The sequence below is a fragment of the Homo sapiens genome, chromosome 5 (assembly GCF_000001405.40).
Source record: "Homo sapiens chromosome 5, GRCh38.p14 Primary Assembly".
Taxonomy (NCBI): Eukaryota; Metazoa; Chordata; class Mammalia; order Primates; family Hominidae; genus Homo; species Homo sapiens.
The window spans coordinates 20,284,866-20,302,003 of NC_000005.10; the positions used below are offsets into that span (position 1 = coordinate 20,284,866).

Genomic DNA, 17,138 nt, shown 5'->3' on the forward strand with positions numbered 1-17,138 from the left:
ATAGTGTAGAAGGTTAATTCTCATGGATAGCACATGGTCTATAATGTTGTACTATAATTCAATTTAATGGGTTACTTGAAAAACTCTTACATAGAAATTAAGAATAAGAATTGATATATTTTATTTTATGTTTAAGTCAATACATCATAGAAATTATTCTATGGTTATACATTTTGCCTAAACCGTTATATCATACCCATCCCCTCTCATAAATAAAGAGTATATTGGGGGCTTATTTGCATTTCTGGTGGTAGTTGCTGCATGCACAAATCAAATACAGTTTACAGATTCCACCATAATTAATGTGAAGTAATCAATGATAACTTAGAAAATTGCAATTATACTCTTTTTCAAAGAGAATCAGATTTTCTGGTTATAACAGATAAAATTTATTGTCTTCCAATTTTCCAACTGTATCAGCACACTCAATGGTCATGAATACCCACTGTTCTCAAGGATTTTGTTTTTTTGGTCCCTGAGATAGGGCCATATAATCTGAGGCATGTAATATGGCCATATAATATAATATAATATAATATAATATAATATAATATAATATAATCATAATATAATATAATAATAAGGCCATATAATATGAGGCATGTTCTTGACCATCCATTGCTTGGAGGAATAAAATATTATAACTTACATTTCAAGTTATTTGATTTTCATTTTATTTTCTCTTCCGTGTATAAATAAAGTGTATTTATAAAGAAGAACACTGATAATTTCTAAATGAACAGGTATGCATATATGAGTGATGAATACTCAATTTGCCCCCTTTTGTGGAGGCCAGTTGCTTGTAAATCACATGTAACATAATCAATTGAAATGCAAGAAGAAAATGAAATAATTGATATGCCTTTTAACTTAATAATAGAAAAATCATTTAAATTTAGTAATAGTCAAATCATAGAACAATATCACTTCTCTCAATAAATATGCATGTTGAATTGCCATGTATCAGATATAATATTTGCTATTTGAGTGCCCTAAGTAAAAGTGGGAGTTTTTGTTCTACTTTTCTGTATGTAGGTTAAATTTATTTTTAAAAAATTAAAGACCTGTTCTGCATATCTTTAGTTAGTTTCTGTGATACTATCAGTGTTTTACTGTCAGCAACATATTTTCTTTTAAACAAAACAAAGGCTCATTTTTTTTAAGGAAAAGCTCAACAAGTGTGAAAAATATTTGCTTTGGATAAAAGTTTATGCTACGGAGAGAACAAATAGATAATGGATAATTCTCATTATTATTATTAGAATACCTTGCCCAAATAAATTCAGCAAGATAATATTTTAAATAGGATTTCAATGGATTTTTAATATATTCCTTTCTAAAATTAAGAATGAAACTTTTAATGAAATTAAAAATGAAAACCTTAACTTTAATGGAGACATTTAAGATTAACATTTAGTTAGGTGATTTGTTACACATAGCAGTAGTATTTTTAAATAAGATATACATATGATTAGCTGCTACTTATAATAATAGCTAAATAATAACCACTTATATGTTTGCTGTATTGAAAATACTGATTTCTATTGTGATAAAAAGTACAATGATAGTAGTAATTTAAATTACCATCATGCATATATTTTAATTGCAAAAAGAACATATGATATTGAAGTGGAAATTTTTCATACATAAAATATAGACCTTGGTACTTGGAGCTATTTTATTTTAGAGGAATTTATACTTATTTTCTTGGGGATTCCAGGTTGAAAAAATACTCAGTAATGGTGTTTATTAAACTTTTGCTCATGTGACCTATGCTAACAAAATGTTCTAGATCTACTGCATTTTCATCTGAGCATCAGTCACTGCCCTGGGATTCCAGAGAGAGAAGTGACTCAGCAAACTTATAAAGTATTTCTTTATTTCCTGCCTTCATCTATGGTGACTAAGTTTATGATCCAGCTCATTGAAACTGTTAAGGGGATACTGTGTACTCCCTGAACAGATACTGCAAGAGCTTTGCACTGAGCACAGTGATTGAGTAAAATAAAAGTCATTCACCTGCATCACAAAATTTATCACAAAGTTTCAACCTGCATATTTAATTATTTCTAAATTCTATAACCTAGAAAATAGTTGTTTTGAGTACCTTTTTTTCCTCCACTTAAATTGAGTATATTCCTTTCAAACTTAAATTATCAAAATCACATCCCAATACCTCACTGCTAATTTGGACTCTTAAGTTTCTTTTTGGAAATATTGGCTTATCATTTTCGTGCATGAACTGTTATTCTATGCCTAAGTGGATTGATATCTGTATTAGACAAAGTGGTGCATTAGCAGGTATAATGTTTTACATTTGTAGAATATTTCACTAACCATTACTATGAAATAATACTTAAAGAAAGCATGTCATCTATTATATCTTAATTGGAATTGATCCAGAATCAATGGTCTAATCTGTCATCCTTAGGTCAGAATCAATCACATACTGAGTCATATACTTTAGAATGTTAGGCATAGAGTGTTTTAAATATATATTTATTCAAATTTAAATTGAAGGATAATATTGTGCCTCCTTTTTCCATAGGTTCCTAAGATTTGATATTTCATAACTTTTCTGTTTCTATATAAGTTTCAAAGATAATCTAAAACTTTCCTCCATCTACTAGAAATCTAAATATCTTCTCAAATTAAGCATTACACATTTATCAAATAGTAAACAAATATTAAAAGCTCACAGCCTTAGAATTTTGCTGAGGTTTAAAATGTTTGATACTAGAATTTTCAACTCTAATGATATGCTAGCAACACATACACACATACATTGAATCATGATGAGCTGATAACAATAATAGAAACAATATTCTGTAAATCCAATTGAAAACATTAGCTGGTTAGATAACTTGAATGATTTATTTTTTAGCACTATAGACCAAGAAGCATTCATGTGAAACAAATCAACGTTGTGACTTCTCGGTATCACATTTAAAATGTAATCAAATATATCATGCATCACTCATGCCATGGAATAATAGAAGAAAAATGGCTTCATTGAAACTGACCTGAACAACATTTATTTATTTTCTCAAATTTATCCTTGTTCAAGCAGCTGAAGCCCTCGTAGCAGTTTTTGTATTTGATGTATAAAGCGTTGCATAATCAAGAAAGCATTTTACAAGGTCAGAAATGAAACACATCTGAACCTGCTGTTAACATTCAGCAAAATATACTGCAGATATTCTGGGGTCATTTTTTTTTTGTCACTGTGGACCAAATGCCATGCAACCTACATAGAAAATGAAGGCATAAATTCCTTTCTGCAAGAATCTACTTTGCAATATAAAAAGAATTAACTGTTACCAATTCAGAGGCAGAATCTCACTGCACTGCATCTTCTCAGATGACTGAAATCCTTAACTCTAATAGAAATCATTTATGACAATTTGAGCATGTCTGGAAAAAGTGAATGTACAAGATAAAAATATGGTGAGAAAGGTTTAGTTGGAGTCAAATTACTTAATAAAATACTAGCATGTCCCTTTTAATTTCAGAGTAAGAAATGTGACCAGTGATGCAAAAAAGTGATGTATTTAGTTTCTAGTGGCTTCAAAAAATACGATATATATATATATATATATGCATTGAGCCATTACTTTTCTTCCTGATCATCAGATGTTTTATGATTTTTATTGTAAGTCTAGCAAATCTCCACTATTATTTTCTGGTACAGAAGTTGGTAATTCATGACATCAAAATAATTTGACTGCCAGGAAAGGGATACCTAACAAATAAAGAACAAACCATCAAACCAACGAAGAGTGATAAGAAGAGGAAACATTTAATTTGATCATAATAGATCCTTTCTTGTGATAGTCAATTCGCTTTATTCAGAGCCACAAGAAAACTGTACACTTACATGCACACACACACGTAACATGCACAGGCAGACGGCATATCCCTTTACACTTGAAATGAAATAGTACAGATTGTATTTCAGCAGAATGAAAATTTGTGAAACTTTTATATTTTTAAAATACCTACAGTTAAGATATATTTCAAAAAATAATTCTTCACATTTCTTAATCTGAACTATTTTTCTAGAAATCAACTATTTTTGGAATTTTAATTAGACTTTTAACGAATTGTGATGTTATTTTTAGCAATGTAGTAAGAATTCTTTGGATTCTTTTGTCATGGTACCTGGATCATGTCAAATTCTTTCTGAATCCTACTGAATAATCAGTGGCATTAGATTATTGTCCCAATTAATTAACCTCTTTTCTACTCATATTTACCCATTTTTGGCTAGTCTTTATTCCACACTAAAGCCATAATCAAGGATCCAATATGGTATTAAATGTATATTAGCTCACTTCTTCTTTAAAATATATAGTAACTCATTTAATATTCAAAACATCCTTATTTCTGCTTTACAAATGAGAATTATGAAATGACAGTTGTTAGATAATTATTAAATGTTAACTCACTCTCCCAAAGACATACAATTAGTAGTTAATCATAGAGCTAAAACCTGACCTAGAAAAGTTTAGCTATAAAAGCTTTATTCCTCATACCTACAAATATTGTCACTAAGAGTGGTATTTTCAGCAGTGACTTGTGGCCACTTTAACTATTGTAAATTTTCATGGGTATCTGTTGTGTCTGATGGGTTATGTATTTGAAAGTGCACTACACTAGGTGACAGACTAAATATTTAGTGCCAATTTTGGGACTTTCTAACCCTAGGACCACAGTCAATATCTTTCTTAATGAATCTCAGTTTCCTCATTAATGAAATAAGTGTAAAAATATGTAAATTATAGAACTTAGTTTCTAGCTGCAACAAATAAAATCTTAGAAGAAAATATATATTAAAATATATATTTTAATTGCTTACATTTAAATTTGTTGTAGCAGTAACAGTACGATTAAGGAAAACACTGAAGATCAGATACACATTAAACTACAGATTTAATACATATCTGTCAATAGGGTCACCAGAGGCAAAAAACTGAAATACATTCAAAAGAACAAGGCAAAGAGAATGTTGTAGACAGAAATATGTAGATAGCTGTGTCTGTTTTCATAACCTAATCGCTTAGTTTTGTTGTTAATATCACTACTTTGCCCACAAAAACTGTTGTAATTAACAAATATAAATCTGGAATTTGAAAAATGGTAGAAGTAACATAATCACACAAAGGCACTTTAGATGTGCTTCCTGACTATTTCCCAAAGGCAGGGAGAAATAATACCTTCCTTCCCTGTCAAGTGCATTCTACAGCAGTGGTTCCCAAAGGTTATACTGCTACCATCAGAACAGAAGCATCTATGAGCTTGTTAGGACTCTCTGAGCCCCATCTGACCTACTGAATCAGAACCTCTTGGGGTGGTCTCAATTTAAGTGTTTTAGCAAGCTCTCCAGGAAATCCTTCTATGCATTAATGCTTGAGAATCACTGCTCAACACACACAGCTAGCATCAAAACAGGCATGCTTCTTATGCAGTAGAATGAGTATGTTGCTAATGCTTATGTACCTGTGCAGCTAGAAATGTGTGTGAAGATTAGAGGTGGGGAAGATCAGAGATGGCAACATCTATTCAACAAATATTTAAATGCCTGATGTAGTCTTGGACCTAGGCTAAGTGCTGAGATCACAAAAGTGAATAAAGCATAATCCCTACCTTTGCATACCTCAAAGAATGAACTATAGAAATACAGGTTCCCAAATTAAAATACTTCAAACCTACAGAGACTAAAGTAATTTCCAGGATAATAATATTTGAGCCACATCCTGACAAGCATTCTGGTTGTACGATATGATCCAGTGAAAAATGCTTGATTCGGAAGACAGTCCAAGCAAAGGTGATATGTTCAAAGCCATGACAGCATGAGGAAGCATGGCTCATTTGGAAAACAGAATAGTAGCTCAGGATGGCTAAAAACGAAATAGCAAATGGAAGAAGGAGGCAGAAGGTGGAAGTGTGGACTAGGTCCAGAACATTGTGGCATGGTATGTCATTCTATGAAGCCTGGTTCTATGTTGCTATGGGAGTCATTGAGAACTTAGAAATAGGGTGGTGATGTGTTAAGATTCCAGTGCTGGAGCAGAATTTAGGCTGATTTAAAGGGGCAAAACTGGATGCAAAGGTTCTAATGTAAAAAATATTGAAATGGACAAGGGAAAAATGTACCCATGGTCTTAAATATGAGAGTGATTATAAGAATGAAGCAGAAAATATGGCTTCCAGAGATATTTATTCATGTCATGAATAAAATATGTAATATAGAATAAGGTATATTCTTGAGTGAAGATACATTTAGGTTGGAGCATGCCAAGTTTGAAATTTCCTGGGAAATAGTGAATCAAAGAGTTTTTAATTGAGTATAAAATTCTGGGTTAAAAATATTCAATTGAGATCTATTAGCAAATAGATGATAGTTGATCCCATAAAAATAGATGTTAACTCTCAGAGAAATTGACAGCCAGAAATGAAGACTAAGAGAGTCGGTCTGTGGAACAACAACAAAAAAGGAAAAGAGACAGTTAAAGTGAATGATGAATGGTCTTAAGGGTGATGGTGGGGAACCATGTATAAAAAGATTAGGTATGATTTAGGAAATGTAAGAACCAAAAACGGAAATGAAATTGGCAATATAAAGACCATTGCAGCATGAGGAGAAAATCAGTTCAGCAGAGCAGTGGAAGCAGAAAGAATATTTCCACAGGTTGAGAAATGAAAGGAAGTCACTTGGCTGTATAGAAAGGCACATTCTAGAAGGAACATGAACAGTAACCAACATGAGATGTGTTTTGTTTAGATCTCTTGTCAGGGAATAGATTTTCAAAGATAGGATTTTAAACAGGTTTACTCAAGGTCAAATTGAGTCATCAGAAAGGAAAAGGACATAGTTTCTGGAAAGGTTATATAATTAAAGGTTTAAATATCAATGTTACAAGAGTAGGTCCAAAGCAATTTTTCCAGGCACCCATTGATCCTAAACTGCCTTTATTTTATTTACTTTACCATAGAGAAACTTCTTAAATTCAGAATGTCTCCTCTGGCCCTACTGGCTTTTGTGGTCTTAATGCTTACTCTGATTCACCTCAGAGTTTTGACCTCTTTCCCGTAATTTCCTTCCTAGCCTCTCCTCTGTCATGTCATCATGTCCAATTTTGTGAGCTCTTTGACTCAGAAACTCTCTGAAGCTTTAAGTGGCCTCCTCGGCTGAGCACACCTGGGTCAGTAATGAACCATTTGCAAAGGTAAGAATTTGGATGCTGATGCAATGTAAGAATGATATTCAGAACATGGATGAAGGCATTCGCTATTGGCAGTAAAGGAGAGGTGTTTTTATCTTATTTTTTATGTCTGTTAGCTGTAAGACCGGGACATGACAATGAATGTGGGTAAATTGAGAGACAGTAAGTTTTCACTTGATGGTTCAATTTCTGAGATTGAGAAACACTGCTGTTTTGCTTTTAGCAAAAAGTAATTGGATTTGAGGATAGAGAGCTGCTGAAGTAGAGAAATAAAGGAGAGAAATGCCTTTGGTCAAAGATAAAGAGAATGATAGCTGAGTGTCCAGAATGCCCTACTAAAGTTGTGGTGAAATTATCTTCACTTTCACTTGTCATTATTTTTGAAGGGCTCTGTGTGTTGTGGTTGGAGATGCTGAGGAGGAGGCCAATGCAGTTATATTAGCTGCCATAAAACAAGGAACCACAAACTGGATTGCTTGAAGACAGACATGTATTCTCCACAGTTCTGGAGGCCAGAGTCTGATTTCAAATTGCCAGCAGTGCCATGTCTTTGTGAAGGACATGGGAGGAGAACGTGTTCCATGCTTTTTTTTTCTAGCTCCTGGTTTTGCTATCAATTCTTGAGATTACTTGTCTTATAGAAGCGTCACTCTGTTCTCTGCCTCAATCATCACATGGCATTCTTCTTCCTATATGTCTTCATATCATCTTCCCTGTGTGTGTGTTACTTTCTGTTTCTCTACTCTTCTTACAAGGACACCAGTCATGTAGGACTAAGGACTACCTGCTGACTTCATCATAACTTGATATAACTGCAGATACCTTATTTCCAAATAAGGTTTCATTCACAGGTACTAGGGGTTAGGGTTTCAACATATCTTTTAGGGGACACAACTCAACCTATAACAGCTGTTAACTCTTGTGTTAAAACTGTTCAGAGTGAGGCCAGGTGCGGTGGCTCACGCCTGTAATCCCAGCACTTTGGGAGGCCGAGGAGGGCTGATCACCTAAGGTCAGGAGTTCAAGACCACACTGGCCAATATAGTGAAACTCTGTCTCTACTAAAAATACAAAAATTATCCGAGAGTGGTAGTGGGCACCTGTAATCTCAGCTTCTTGGGAGGCTGAGGCAGGAGAATTGCTTGAACCCAGGAGGCGGAGTTTGCAGTGAGCTGAGATCACGCCATTGCACTCCAGCCTTGGTGACAGAGTAAGACTCCATCTCAAAAAAACAAAACAAAACAAAAACAAAAACTGTTCAGAGTGGTGCTAGTGGAATGGATAAGAGACAATAGTACAGGAAAGAAAATGTCATAAGGAAGGTATAAATGTGTTAATAAGGAAGAGATAAGTGCTGAATAAAAAAAGAAAAGAAAAGAAGATTGTGTTGAAAGATGAGAAAAATTGTCCAACATGGAAAAGTAGATGTATAACTAAAACTCAAGATGATTGCACTTTATTTGGGGTATTTAGAATTTAATGTTTCATGAGGAAAATTATTGTATCTTATTCAAGAACAAATAAGTAGAGATTAATGCATGAATTAAAATTACACATGCATCACCAACCAATTTTAGAAAGGAGCTTGAGATATTTATACACATGAATAAAAATGGTAAAACAGTATTACTTTTTGGCATAACCGATGCTTTTGAAAGTTAATTTAGATAATTCACTTCTTTTGATGAGTTTTCTATTATACAAATAGTGTATTATAAAATATGAAGCTCAACATGTAAAAACCACAGGAAACATTAAAACCTGAAACGAGTGTAAACAGGATAGAGGTGTAAATAGGATAGAAGTGTACTGTTGGTTGATTTATAGTATTTGGGGCAGGTTTAATTTCACTGATGTACGTAGGCATTTTTTAATTTTTTCTGTTTACTTTCTCTTAAGTGGAAACTAATAGGACCCCAATAAATATTTTAATGAATATGTACTGCTTGTTAAATAATAGAATGGATGATTTATATACACTGTTGGTCATAGTAAACAGAAGTTGCACTGAGGCCTAATATTTACCACCTTTAATCTTTTCCATATGTGAGTTTTTAGTACGGTTAAGGGAACACTTACGAAAGCATTTCAATGCCCACTTCTTCATCCTCTTAATTACCCAAAGTAGTTACTTTGTTTAATAAGTAAGCAGTGTTACAACCAACAGCCCATAAAAGGTCATTATCAAATATTTTTTCCATTTTCCTTGCACATGATTAAGCCTCAAATGTGAATTAATGGATCCTGTTAGCCCGTAACAGGAAAGCAATAATGTCTATCAACCAAGCACTGTGTGCCACAAATATATGCTGTTTGTTAATGCGATTGGTGGGTTTTCATTTGATTTCCCCTCAAAGGAGAGCTGGTAAGATGGGAGGCTAAGGGAATGTTTCCTCATCTTATAGTTAGATGTAATGGTAAACATTGATTTTGATTTCTTTGTGAGGACATATCGCAGTAATGAGGAAAGCAGATTACAAAATTTATACCATACTATATTGTTTCATTTAAAGTGATAACAATATTCAAACTGTTTGTCTTGACTTAATCTTTTTGTCCCATTTGTATTTCCCAAGGTTCCTAATCTTACCTTGTCTTAAGGTTTTCTACAGTACATACTTTCTGTAAGCTGTACCACATCCTTCTGTGTAGCATGGTTTACAAAATTAAAAAATAAGTAATTTGAAGTGTTTTTGCTTGTGTGTTTACTTCAGCTACATTAACTATTTTCCTACATATATATATACACACATACATATACTTACATATATATTTTCATTGTTCAAAAATTCTGATAGTAAATATTGACTCAGTATAGTCACTTAAAGGCTTTGATTTCAGGTTAGATGTGGTACATGATTAATGTGTGAGCTATTCAGAGTGAACTTTGAAATCTGTGTGGGTAATTTTACTTAATAAAAAATTAATCAGACAAGTATAATTTAGAAAATAAAAGTATAATAATTTAAATGTCACAATTAAAGTTTCCACAGGGCTAGTTTTCTCCACTGTTTTAAGATAAAAAATGGCACAGATATACACTGAAATGTACTTTGAACATTGTATGTAATTATCTTAGAACATCAGGAATAGCATCAATAAAAACCAAGAAGTTTTGTGATTTTATATTGTTTTGCATCTAATTGTATATAACAGTCTAATACCATAGACCTTCACATCTCTGGGAGCCAGCTATAATACTGCCTTAGATAATCATGGCAGGAATCAACCGGACAAATTTTGATAGGAAGAAAGGCAGTAGACCCTTAGCAGACAATGAGACAATGGAGATTGAAAAGAAAATGATTATCAAACACTTTTCCAGATGGTTATCAATTGCACAGGAATTCTAAGAGGCCAGGCACAGTGGCTCACGCCTGTAGTCCCAGCGCTTTGGGAGGCCGAGGAGGGTGGATCACGAGGTCAAGAGATCAAGACCGTCCTGGCCAATATGGTGAAACCCCGTCTCTACTAAAAATACAAAAATTAGTTGGGCATGGTGGCGTGCACCTGTAGTCCCGGCTACTCGGGAGGCTAAGGCAGGAGAATCACTTGAACCCAGGAGGTGGACGTTGCAGTGAGCCAAGGTTGTGCCACTGCACTCTAGCCTCGGCGACAGGTCGAGACTCTGTCTCAAAAAAAAAAAAATTCTAAGAAAGCATAAGATTTGATTGTATATATGTTTATTTTCAAAGCGAATTATTTTCTTTACATATATACTCAAGCTTGATAAGAAAGATCAATCTGCAGACATTTTATTTTATTTTCTTTCTTTTTTTTCTTTTTTTTTTTTTTTTGAGACGGAGTCTCACTCTTGTCATCCAGGCTGGAGTGCAGTGGCGCAATCTCGGCTCACTGCAACCTCTGTCTCCCGGGTTCAAACGATTCTCCTGCCTCAGCCTCCCGAGTAACTGGGATTCCAGGCACATGCCACCATGCCTGGCTAATTATTTTTTGTATTTTTAGTAGAGACGGGGTTTCGCCACGTTGGCCAGCCTGGTCTTGAACAGCTGACCTCGTGATTCGCCCGCCTCAGCCTCCCAAAGTGCTGGGATTGCAGGTGTCAGCCATCGCGCCTGGCCGACAAATTTTCATAATGGATTATTATAATGCCACAAATTCACATACTTCCACTAAGGTTTTTTTTTGTTTGTTTGTTTTTGTTTTTTGTTTTTTTTTTGAGAGGGAGTCTCACTCTGTTGCCCAGGCTGGAGTGCAGTGGCGCCATCTCGACTCACTGCAAGCTCCACCTCCGGGGTTCAGGCCATTCTCCTGCCCTCCTGCCTCAGCCTCCTGAGTAGCTGGGACTACAGGCGCCCGCCACCACGCCTGGATAATTTTTTGTATTTTTAGTAGAGACGGGGTTTCACCGTGTTAGCCAGGGTGGTCTCGATCTCCTGACCTCGTGATCTGCCCGCTTCAGCCTCCCAAAGTGCTGGGATTACAGGCGTGAGCCACCGCCCCCGGCCCACTAAGTTTTTATAGTATTATATGTTACTAAAACACCTCAAAAAAGCAATCAATTTCTTTTACCTTAAATGTACAGTTATAATCTAGTAAACTATGCTATAAGTAAACTACAGTTTATAATATATGTAATATATCATTTTTACTTAATTATATTGTAAAATATTAAATGTAATTAAAATTTTATACACATTTTAAATATTTTGAACCTGATATATAATTCTAGAAACCATTGTGAGTCTTTCCTGGTTTGAAAAAATAATATTACTATGATATTTCGATATTCACTATTTTGCTTAAAGTGAAATAAATGAATAAAGAAATTCTTCAGATTATTAGTGTAAGCATATAAGTCTATGTTACTCAATACAGATTCTGTTACATAAATAAGTACTTAATTATTATTAACTGTAAATTTATTTTATATTTATTCTGAGATAGATATACTTCCATTTATATCTACTTTATTATGTTTTATCTATCTCCGATCTAACTAGAAATAATTTAATGTGTTCTTTTCCAGAAAATACTTAACATATATTTAAATACATAATATAAAACAGGCCAAGGTAAAAATGGAATTATAATATTTTACTAAATTAAAAATGTTAGTATATAAAAATCATGAAAATGATCCTATAGGTTTTTCCCCTTTCTTTCTACTTTTCATGCATGATTTTAAGCATTCTTCTGAATTGCTGCATATAGTCATAGCAGCCTCCCTCTGAACGAACTAGCCTTCCTCACTTAAGAAAAGGAAATTGACACATTGAGGCCAAGTCACTATCTAATGTCTTGCTGCAAGCAAGTGGGAAAAGTTGCTTTTGAATTCAGCAAGTCTGACACCAAAGCATAAACTCAACCAATACATATTATTTCAACCATTTTCTTACAGAAGGATCATGGCTTTGGCTTTAATTTTCATTGTAGCCTATGCAACGAAAGAAACAAAATCAATTTAATGAGTCACAATGTCCAAAATATGAAAAAAGGCAAGTTGTGGAGCAGAATCACCAAGGCCATAAAAAGCTTTATCTCTTGAGTCCCCATAAACTGGATGCTGCTAAATATACAATTTGTCGACAGTACTTTTATGGTGAAATAACTAGTGCCAAATGTCACTTTTTCTTATAACATCTTTCACTATAAGCAACGGCAAAGCACATTTCTAAGAAAAAAAATTGTTAGGGCTTTAAGTTAGGGGGATAGTGTGATCCAAATGAACCCCACTCTGATGCTCTTGCTGAGGTTGTACTTCATATTACAGAATGAAGTATAAAATAAGAGAGTTCTCTTCTGCCTGTCCTCCAGAAGTAGTTTCCTCTCAGTCAAATATTTGAAAATAACTGTGTGGTAATAGGTTGAACATTATGCTACTTGACAATACCTGTAATACTTTTATTCTGATAAGTAACCGGAAGGCATCTGTCTTGCCGACTTATTATACCCCCCATTATTCTATTTTCACTTGAACTAACTAGCCGTAAGACTTTTTTCCACCTTAGAAAAATAGAAAAAAGGGAACTTGCCTGTCTAAAAAACCAACTTACCTCTCCATTGAAGTGTTTGCGTGGGCAGAACCAAGACCTTTCTTTAACTTTTTGCATAGGGAAAAAAAAGCAAACTATCTATCTCTTTTGTAAAATTTCCCAGTAAATTGCATATAAAAAGCAAAAATTATAGAAAATTAAAACTCAAAAAATTATAATTTTGTTTTTATCATGCCCTGATCAATAAGTAAATGAATTATATTAACTTAGGTAACTTACGGTGCAACAGAGAGTGATGGAAGAAACCCCAACTTAATTTTTAGTGACTGCTACTAAAATCGAGACCGGTAAAGGAATTTCAAAAATTTAAGTTTTACAAGAGTTGATTGATAATCCTTCCTTTGGGGAAGTTGTCTATTCACTGAGCAAGTTATCTTATTCCTCATAATTAACTCATTGAGAATAATATAAAGATATTGCATCTCAAATTTAAAAGACAAAATGGAGACTACATAGATACGACTTTGGCTCTCAAAATAGGGTTAATATCCTTGGAATTCAAAAATGTGAATAACCAGGTTTAATTCACTCAATATGTATTTATTGAGTTTATATTACACTATACCAGGTACTGTTCCAAAGATAAAGCAGTAATTAAAACAGAGAAACATATGTCCTAAACTCTGGCAAGAAACAAAAAAATAAAATCTAATAACCATTAAATTATGAGGTAAGATACATTGATACATACATGAAGGGAATTGAAAATGTCTGAGAAGGTGAAACGTTAGTTATGCTGGAGACTGAAGAACTGAAGAAAAAAAACATTTGGATAAGAAGAAAGCATTTTTAGAAAGAGAACAATGCGCACAAAGACACCTAGACAGAGACATCTTAATGTTTCACAAGAATGAGGAGTAGAGTAAGATGGGGAGATATAGGAGATAAAATAAAAAACATAGGCATGACGGTTGGAAAAACGCAATGTAAAGAATTATGAATCATAGAACAGATTTTAAGTTTTTCTCTGAGATGGGAAACCTCAACTAATTTTGAAGAGGGTGTAACTTGGTCTGAGGCTAGTTTAAATGAGTCACAATAACCTCTCTGTTGATAAGATTTGAGGGGAACATGGAGGTCTATTAGGAGGTGAGCACAGATGAAAGTGAGACATAAAGTGGCTTAACTGGTTGGAAAGCTGAGCATAAAAACATGGTTGAATTCTGCACAAAATGGATGTGGTTTGTCATCAAAATAGAAATGTCAGTAATTATTGCAAGCCATTTTGATCCAAGTAACTAGAAGAGAGGAGTAGATTTCCTAAACTTAAAAGCCCCAAATCATCAACATTAGCTACACACACACACACACACACACACACACACACACACACACACACACAAAATGAGTCATTCCAGCAGGTTTCTTCACAAGAAGGCATAGAACAGATGTCTGTAATTCCAGCACTTTGGGAGCCCGATGCAGGCAGATCACAAGGTCAGAAGTTCGAGACCGGCCTGGCCAATATGGTGAAACCCCGTCTCTACTAAAAATACAAAAATTAGCCGGGCGTGGTGGTGCATGCCTGTAGTCCCAGCTACTCTGGAGGCTGAGGCAGAAGAATTGCTGAACCCGGGAGTCAGAGGTTGCAGTGAGCCAAGATCGCACCACTGTACTCCAGCCTGGGTGACAGAGCAAGGCTCTGTCTCAAAAAAAAAAAAAAAAAAGAATATTCAGAAGTGGAATACTTGTGCTTATGGCTCAATATTTCTCATTATAAAATAATAACCCAAGAACCTTAGTTTTGCAAATAGTCAAGAAGGAAGCTGGGACATATTTTAGATCAAATATATTGCAGGTTAAGGTATCTTTATGTAGGGAAAGTAAATAGAAATGTGTTGTTCTATAAATAGGATTTAGCAAGACAGGACCATTCCACATGAATTGATAAAATCAAATAACTGTCGAGGATTGCAGTTCATTTTTCAAAATGGTGAAGAAATATTTTTTTAAAATATATTTGCAGTGTGACACTTAAAAAAAAATCAAGTCTGCGACACAATGCTGAAAAATATCCTGTAATCTTTCCTCTTAGTGGAGCAAAATCTTAGTTTAAAGAGGAAGGAAGTTTGAGAGCTCCTTAGTGGTCAGTAGAGATCTGATTCTCCCCAATTTTGCTCAAACTGAATATATAACAGGACAACGCAACAGGATCTGAGCCAAACATTTCCACATAGATTAAGTTGTGTGTGTGCGTGTGTGTGTGTGTGTGTGTGTGTGTGTGTATTTTCCTGTGGAAAATAATGCATTTGAACATTAGTCATTCTCTCGTTTTTCCTGCTGTCTGTCTCCACATTAACAAGACCAGGATGTACTTTTTTTTCTAGCCAGGATCTCATGTCCCACTAGGTTTGGGGAAGACAATTTTAACATACTTTTTAGGGCACGTTGTGGTTAGAATTGCTTTCAAGATACTACTGTTCATAAAAGGTGAGAGAAAGAACATTTTCATGTAGCCCCCGGGTGTTGAGATTCCCCATATCCTTAAGAATAAATCGGTCAATCATCAAGAGAATATGAAATCTCCTCAGGCTGTCTTCATTTTCACAACAGGCTCACCTCCCTGATCTAATAAATAGAACATTGACTCTATGGGAGGGCTATGCTTTTGAACTGCTCCTTGCTAAATTGATATTACTTCCTAACACCCAATAGTCCTAGGTATATGTCATGTGCAAACTTTCTATAAGAATCATTTTCACTAAAATAGTTTGAACAAGTCAACTTATTTTAAAACATAGCATTTTCCCTATCTCACCTGTATAGCCACAGAAAGAATTAACTGTCCTGTGGAATATGTAAAAAATAAAAGATAAAGTCTCCAAGATTAACCTGAGCACATATCATTCACTTTAAAAAAAATTGGAGGGGATGAACTAGAAGAATTTCTTTGGAGCCTGAACAAAAGAGGGGTGAACGGGTTATTAAAGATAGGCTGATGTTATTCTAATATCTTTATGGGAGACTTTCTATTCTATTGTGTCTTTTTTTCAATGAGCATCTTTTGGGAAGCATACACTTGCTTCCTTACAAGGTCAGAGCAGAGTAATTGTATAGACAGTGTTTTTTTGTTTTTTTGTTTGTTTGTTTGTTTGTTTTACTTTTCATTTATTCACATTTCACAGATTGTTACACTTCCTTGATGGGAGCATTCAAAAACTAATACAAGCTGAGATTATATTGTCTGACAATTCAAGTATTTTAGTTTTAGAAAACAATTTCCTATTTAAAGTAAAAAGCAAACCATTTATCCATCTGATTGCTAAGAAGTTTTACATCTCCATTACAATTGTGTCTGCATCAAAGGGAGAGTCCTTCATCCTCAGTATGATTGTTACTGGTTGAGAACATACAGTGGCCTGCGTTCTGAGTGCCTGATTGGAAAAGACCTCCCCATCATCTACCATACTACGGGACAAATCAGTATCTACTCAAATTCCCACTTCCAGAATGAGAGGACTCATCAGGGGTTTAGGAGTTTGCAAAGCCTTCAAAATGTATTGTGCTTGAATTTTGACTCTTCTGAAATAGAACAACTGACAAATGCTCAAAAAACAAACTTGTTTAACTTTTACTGAAAAGGCTCTCAGTGAAAACTTGTTTTGAACTCTACTAGTAATGTAGAATATTAGTTTTTCTTCCCCTCCACACCAGAAAAGGTAGTTTGCTCTTTCTTTTTTCTTTTTTTTTTTTTTTTTTGGCATGCAGCACATATAAAATGTGATCTAGAATTGAAATTGTAAAATAGAATAATCCTTTTAAAGAAAATCAGCCCATGAACAGTCAGACTTGTCCTTCCATGGAAAACATAATCTCAACTACTTTAAAAACTGGCCATATCTTCAGTCTGTAATTTGAATAATGAAGATGGCATAACAAATTTTTTTGCTTACTA

The 17,138-nt window shown here is 34.2% G+C and overlaps 1 protein-coding gene and 1 long non-coding RNA gene across 10 annotated transcripts in view; one reads left to right on the forward strand and one right to left on the reverse strand.

Moving 5' to 3' along the window:
- The window catches only part of CDH18 (cadherin 18), a 1,104,418-nt gene that overhangs the window by 813,570 nt on the left and 273,710 nt on the right, over nucleotides 1–17,138 (reverse strand). The window lies entirely within an intron of this gene.
- Nucleotides 6,115–7,683, forward strand: LOC124900948 (uncharacterized). The gene is made up of 3 exons (XR_007058708.1): nucleotides 6,115–6,258; nucleotides 7,109–7,229; nucleotides 7,613–7,683. It is a non-coding gene; the product is annotated as an uncharacterized LOC124900948 (long non-coding RNA).